Source organism: Homo sapiens, chromosome 14 (assembly GCF_000001405.40).
Source record: "Homo sapiens chromosome 14, GRCh38.p14 Primary Assembly".
NCBI lineage: Eukaryota > Metazoa > Chordata > Mammalia > Primates > Hominidae > Homo > Homo sapiens.
This window is the reverse complement of record NC_000014.9, coordinates 21,130,224-21,137,721: the sequence shown is the minus strand read 5'-3', so window position 1 is coordinate 21,137,721 and position 7,498 is coordinate 21,130,224. Positions and strand designations below refer to the sequence as shown.

Genomic DNA, 7,498 nt, shown 5'->3' with positions numbered 1-7,498 from the left:
CACACAGTGTACTTACACAAACCTACATGGTATAGCCTGCTACATACCTAGGCTATACGGTATAGCCTGTTGCTCCTAGGCTACAAACCTGTACAGCATGTCACTGTGCCAAATACTGTAGACAACTGTAACACAATGATAAATATTTGTGTATCTAAACACGTCTAAACATAGAAAAGGAAACGGGTTGTGCTATGATGTTATGAGGGCTATGACTTCGCTAGGCGATAGAATTTTTCAGCTTCATTATAATTTTATGGATCAAGCATCGTATATGAGGTCTGTCATTGAGCAAAACACCATTGTTTGGGTTATGACTATATATATACAGAGAGACAGCGGGGGGACTGAGTGGGGGCAGAAGAGAGAGAGAGATTTATTATTAGGAATTGAATCACGATTATGAAATCTCACAATCTGCTATCTGGAAGCTAGAGACTCAGTAAAGCTGGCAGTATAATTCAGTCTGAATCTGAAGGCTTGAAAACCAGGAGGGCTAGACGTGTAAATCCCAGTCAGAGAGCAGAAGATGAGATGAGATGTCCCAACTAACTCAGGCAAGCAGGCAGCAAAAAGGGTGAATTCCTCCTTCCTTTGCCTTTTGTTCTATTTAGGCCCTCAACAAGTTGGATGGTGCCCACTCACATTGAGGAGAGCAATCTACTTTACCGGTCTGCTGATTCAAAGGATAATCTTGAAACACTCTCACAGACACACCCACAAATAATGTTTAATCTGGGCACCCCCAGGCCCAGTCAAGTTGACACATATAATTAATCATTATACCCTAGTAATAGGTACAAACAATATTAGCCCTTCCACAGATATGAAAGGAATGTGTTTTAGCATTTATTTATTTATTTCTTGAGATGGAGTCTCGCTCTGTTGCCCAGGCTGGAGTGCAGTGGTGCGATCTCGGCTCACTGCAAGCTCTGCCTCCCGGGTTCACGCCATTCTCCTGCCTCAGCCTCCCGAGTAGCTGGAACTACAGGCGCCTGCCACCATGCCCGGCTAATTTTTCTGCATTTTTAGTAGAGATGGGGTTTCACCGTGTTAGCCAGGATGGTCTCCATCTCCTGACCTCGTGGTCCACCCGCCTTGGCCTCCCAAAGTGCTGGGATCACAGGGAGCTTTTATTTTTAATTGTGGTTTACCCTTATTATTAATTTTTAAAATTAAAATTAATCTGTTCTTAAAATTTTCTCTAAAGTTGATAACATTGACTTATACGATAAAGCCTAAATTCCTTAGGGCTGCCTTCTCATTCATCTCATCTCTTGGTACCTTTCTCGGAGTTTATGCTCCAGAAACACTGATCTATTTGTGTTTCCCAAAATACACTGTATTTCCTCAAGCCTTTTTTCTTTGGATCATATTGTACTCTTTGCCTGTAACATTTTCCTTTGAAAATTTCTACACATTCTTCAAGTTTTCTGCTGAAACGCTACCTTCCTGTGAAGACATCCTTTTGCTAAGCATTAATACTCCTAATAACTTTGTGCATACTTCTATTAAAGGAATTATCTAAGTTTCCAATATTATAAGTATAAGATAATTCCTCTCCTTCTCCACTAGAGGGCAGAGACAGCTTTTTCCCCCCATTTTTATTTCTAGTGGCATGGGGGACTTACAATAACTAGCCAAGTTACTGTATTTGTTGAGTTAATTAAGATGACTCTTAATCCATGATGCATTCTAGATCCCTTCCCAGGGTTGTAATTATTGCACTGGTGGCAGTAAATCAGCTTTCTATAAGTTGTGCAATTTGGGGTTTAAAAATATCTCTAGGCCGACCCCTCCTTTCAGTAACAATGCATCCTCCAATATGCAGGAACTTGTGAAGAATCAGAACACACCTGCGACTGCTAAGATGGCAAGTGAACTCAGGTTGCTGGCTGCTTCTTCTGAAATCAGTCCTGCAGAAAATACAAAGTAAGAGGTAAGCATAGACTCCAGGAATTAACCATCATTACCACTACCTCTGTAAGAAACCCCAGGGAAAACTAGAGACTGTCTTGCACTGAAGTGTGTGAGAAGGAGTGGGAGAAGATGGGAGTGGGAAGAGCAGGGGAAGGTAGGGTAGACTGTGGTCTGGGCAGAGGGTAGCAGTGAGAGTGAAGAAAGGCTTCTTAAAATTCTGCTTCCCCCTTTCTGCAGGTTTGCTTTGGAACAGTTGTTGCCTTTGGCTTCACAGTAAAACTCATGGCAACATCCTAGACCGCTGTGGATGGTATCTTCAGAGGCTGTTTTAAGGAGCTGCAATATGTTGCTTCTAACAACTGCATAATACTCAATTATTTTATCTGCTGCATCCTACTATATACTTTACCAATGCTGTACACAGTTGTCTCCAAATTCCTTGGCAGTATTCCTCCAAACTTTTTCTTTTCTGGTTTTTTTTTTTTTTGTTTTTTTTTTGGTTTTTTTTGAGACAGAGTCTTGCTCTGTTGCCCAGGCTGGAGTGCAGTGGCACGATTATGACTCACCTGTAGCTTCACCCCGCTGGACTCAAAAGATCCTCCCACCTCAGCCTTCCAAGTAGCTGGGACTACAGGCACACATCCCCATGCCTAAGTTTTTAAAAATTTTTTGTAGAGATGGGGGTCTCACTATATTGCCTAGGCTGGTCTTGAACTACTCCTAGACTCAAGTGATCCTCCTGCGTTGGCCTCCCTAAGTGTTGGGATTACAGGTGTGAACCACCACACCCAGCCTTATTTCTTTTTCTGCTTAAATTAGTCAGTTAATGTCTGTTTTCTGTAACTATTAAGCCTGACCTTTAGTGGAAACAAAACTGGAAGAAGGAAAAATATTAGGAGGTTATTAAAATAAACCAGACAAGACATAGTGATGATGCGGGCAAGAACATTTGAGATATAAGAGTTGTTGGGCTAGGGATATATTTTGGACATAAACAGGACAGGAAAGGAAGGAAAATAAAGTAACCAAGCATGAGTCCTAGGTTTTGGCCACAGCAACTGTAATGAATGGTGATGTCATTTATTGAGATGGGAAATAATAAAGTAGAATTTTTATTTTTATTTTATTTATTTATTTATTTTAGGATGGGAATGTAAAGTTCTGTTTTGGAGGCGGGTGTGGTGGCTCATGCTTGTAATCCTAGCAGTTTGGGAGGTCAAGGTGGGTGGATCACCTGAGGTCAGGAGCTCGAGACCAGCCTGGCCAACATGGTGAAACCCCATCTCCACTAAAAATACAAAAATTAGCTGGGCATGGTGGTGCACGCCTGTAATGCCAGCTACTTGGGAAGCTGAGGCCGGAGAATCACTTGAATCCGGGAGGCAGAGGTTGCAGTGAGCCGAGATCACACCACTGCATTCCAGCCTGGGCCACAGAGTGAGACTCCGTCTCAAAAAAAAAAAAAAAAAAGTTCTCTTTTGGTCATGCTATGTTTCTGGAGACCCCTATAAGACACCCAAGTGGAGATGACATATGTGTCTGGGGTTCAGTACAGAAGTCTGGACCTGCAAACTTATAAAATCAGCAGCATAAGGGAGTATTTAACATCATGGGCCTGGATGAGATCATTAGGGAAATAGTGTATGTAAAAAAGAGGACCAAGAAATGTAGCCAGAGGCAATTGATATTTAAATTGGGAAGACAAGGAGGATCCAACAAAGAAGACTAAGAAGCAGCAGCCAATGAAGTAAGAAGAAACCAGAAGAATGTGGAGTCTCTGATAACAGATGAAAGCATTCTTTCAAAAAGTATGGTGAAGTCAAGTATATCACATGTCACTGAAAGTTCTATCAGATGAGAACAGAAAATTTAATACGAAATATAGGGAAATGGAGGTAATTAATAAAAATATTTTTAGGACAGTGGTGTGGAAAAAAGCCAGGGATTTATTTCCTTTGTCACTCCCTGCCCCCAACTTTCTCCTTTTTCCTGCCTGGAACTAAGATAAAATGAAGACTGAAGTTAGAATTGCCATACTGGGTCATAAGGTGAACTTGAGGATGGAAGTTTTGCACTAAAGATGACACAGAAGGAAGATAGAAGGAGCCTGGGTCCCTAGTGACTATATGGAACTATAATATCCACTTCTCGACTTCTTTCACATAGAGGAAAACAAACCCTATCTTATATATGCTACTTTAATTTGGGTTTTCTGTTATATGTGACTAGACCTAATTCCCACTGACATAGAAGGAGAGCAAAGAAAAGAGGCAGTGTCGTGATAGAAAAAGAAAAGCTGCTTTTTTTAAATTGACAGATAACATTGTATATACACAACATGATGTTTTAAAACCTGTATATATAGTGGAATGGCTAAATCAAGCTAATTAAGATGGAATTCCTCACAGTTGTCATTTTGTGGTGAGAACACTTGAAATCAGCTCTCTTAGAATGTTTCAAGGATACAATGTATTGTTATTAACTATAGTCACCATGTTGTACAACAGATATCTTTAACTTATTCCTCCTATCTAACTGAAATTTTGTATCCTTTGACCAACATCTCCCCAACTCCCTCCCTACCACAACACTAGCCCTTGGTATCCCACATTCTACTTTCTACTTCTACGAGTTTAACGTTTTTAGATTCCACACATGAGTGAGATCATGTGGGATTTGTCTTTCTGTGCCTGGCTTATTTCACTTAACATCATATCCTCCGGGTTCATCCATGTTGTCTCAAATGACAGGATTTCCTTCTTTTTAATGGCTCAGTAGTATTCAATTGCATATATATGCCACATTTTGTTTATCCATTAATCCATGGATAGCACTTGGTTTGCTTCCATGTGAGTGGTACTACTATGAACACAGGTGCACACAAATATCTCTTTGATATCCTGATTTCAATTCTTTTGGATTTATACCGAGAAGTGGAATTGTTGGATCATACAGTAATTATATTTTTATTTTTTTGAGGGACCTTGATATGGTTTGGGTCTGTGTCCCCACCTAAATCTCATATGGAATTGTAGACCCCAGTGTTGGAGGAGGGGCCTGGTGGGAAGTGATTGATTATGGGGGTGGATTTCCCCCTCGAAGTTCTTGTGATAGTGAGTTATCATGAGATCTGGTTGTTTAAAAGTGTGTAGCAGCTCCTCCTTCACTCTTCCTTCTTCTCCAGCGTGCCTGCTTCCCCTTCGCCTTCCACCATGATTGTAAGTTTCCTGAGGCCTCCCCAGCCATGCTTCCTGTATAGCCTGCAGAACTGTGAGTCAACTAAACCTGTTTTCTTTATAAATTACCCAGTCTCAGGTAGTTCTTTATAGCAGCGCGAGAAAGGACTAATACAGACTTCCATACTGTTCTCTATAATGGCTGTACTAATTTACATTTCTACCAACAGTGTGCAATGGTTCTCTTCTCTCCACGTTCTCACCAACACTTATCTTTTGTCTTTTTGATAACAGCCACTTTAACAGTTGTGAGGTGATAGCTATCTGTAGTTTTAATTTGCATTTCCCCACTGCTTAATGATGTTGAGCATTTTTTCATATACCTGCTGACCATTTGTATGTCTTCTTTTGAGAAATGTCTATTCAGGTCCTCTGCCTATATTTTTCCTGTTGCCCAGGCTGGAGTGCAATGGTGCAATCTCAGCTCACTGCAACTTCTGCCTCCTGGGTTCAAACGATTCTCTTGCCTCAGCCTCCTGAGTAGCTGGGACCATGGGCATGTGCTAACACGCCTGGCTAATTTTTGCATTTTTAGTAGATACGGAGTTTTGTCGTGTTGGCCAGGCTGGTCTTGAACTCCTGACCTCAAGTGATCCATCCACCTCGGCCTCCCAAACTGTTGGGATTACTGGAGTGAGCCATTGCACCTGGCCCTATTTTTAAATTGGGTCATTTGTTTTCTTGCTGTTGATCTGAGTTCCCTAAATATTTTAAATATTAATCCCTTATCAGATACGTGATTTGCAAATACTTTCTCCCATTCTGTAGGTTGTCTCTTCACTCTGTTTACTGTTTTCTTTGCTATGCAGAAGCTTTTTAGTTTGATGTAATCCCATTTATCTATTTTTGCTTTTGTTGCCTGTGCTTTTTGGGTCATATTGAAAAAATCATTGCCCAGAGCAATGTCATAGAGTTTTTCCTGTATGTTTTCTTCCAGTAGTTTCACAGTTTTAGGTCTTATGTTTAAGGTGTTTTTTTTTTTTTTTTTTTTTTTTTTTGACAGAGTCTCACTCTGTCACCCAGGCTGGAGTGCAGTGGCGCGATCTCGGCTCACTGCAAGCTCTGCCTCCTGGATTCACGCCATTCTCCTGCCTCAGCCTCCTGAGTAGCTGGGACTACAGGCGCCCGCCACCACGCCTGGCTAATTTTGTTTTTGTATTTTTAGTAGAGACAGGGTTTCGCCATGTTAGCCAGGATTGTCTTGATCTCCTGACCTCGTGATCTGCCCGCCTTGGCCTTCCAAAGTGCTGGGATTACAGGCATGAGCCACCACGCCCAGCCTAAGTCTTTATTTTGAGTTGATTTTTGTATATAGTGTGAGGTAAGGGTCTACTTTTATTTTTCTCCATGTGGACATCTAGTTATCCCACTACTGTTTATTGAAGAGAGTGTCCTCCTCCCATGTGTGTTCTTGACATCTTTTGTGAAAATTGGTTGGCTGTAAATATGTGGATTTATTTCTGGGCTGTCTATTCTATTCCATTGGTCAATGTATCTGTTTTTATGCCACTATCATGCTGTTTTGATTACTATAACTTTGTAGTATATTTTGAAGTCAGGCAGTGTGATGCCACCAGCTTTGTTCTTTTGGCTCAAGATTGCTTTGGCTATTAGGGGTTTTTTTGTGGCTCCCTATAAATTTCAAGATTTTTTTTTCTGTTTCTGTGAAGAATGTTATCGGTATTTGGTAGAGATTTCATTGAGTCTGTAGCTCTCTTTGGATAGTATGGACATTTTGACAATATTAATTCTTCTACTCCATGAACATGAATATCTTCCCATTTATTTGTCTTCTTCAATTTTTCTTTCTTTCTTTCTTTCTTTCCTTCCTTCCTTCCTTCCTTCCTTCCTTCCTTCCTTCCTTCCTTTCTTCCCTCCCTCCCTCCCTCCCTCCCTCCCTCCCTTCCTTCCTTCCTTCCTTCCTTCCTTCCTTCCTTCCTTCCTCTCTCTCTCTCTCTCTCTCTTTCTTTCTTTTTTTTGAGATGGAGTTTCACTCTTGTTGCCCAGGCTGGACTGCAATGGTGAGATCTCAGCTCACTGCAACCTCCGACTTCTGGGTTCAAGCGGTTCTCCTGCCTCAGCCTCCCAAGCAGTTGGGATTACAGGCATCCACCACCATGCCCGGCTAATTTTTTGTATTTTTGGTAGAGACAGGGTTTCTCCATGTTGGCCAGGCTGGTCTTGAACTCCTGACCTCAGGTGATCCACCTGCCTCGACCTCCCAAAGTGCTGGGATTACAGGCGTGAACCACCTCGAGGTTTTATAGTTTTCAACATCTATATCTTTCACCTCCTTGGTTAAATTTATTCCTAAGTATTTTATTGTATTGTATTGTATTTAT

The 7,498-nt window shown here is 41.3% G+C and overlaps 1 long non-coding RNA gene across 1 annotated transcript; it reads left to right on the top strand.

Annotated features, from left to right (window-relative positions):
* The first annotated feature begins 1,845 nt into the window (after positions 1–1,845).
* LOC105378175 (uncharacterized) lies at positions 1,846–2,339 on the top strand. The gene is made up of 2 exons (XR_943589.2): positions 1,846–1,939; positions 2,158–2,339. It is a non-coding gene; the product is annotated as an uncharacterized LOC105378175 (long non-coding RNA).
* The last annotated feature ends 5,159 nt before the right edge of the window (positions 2,340–7,498 follow it).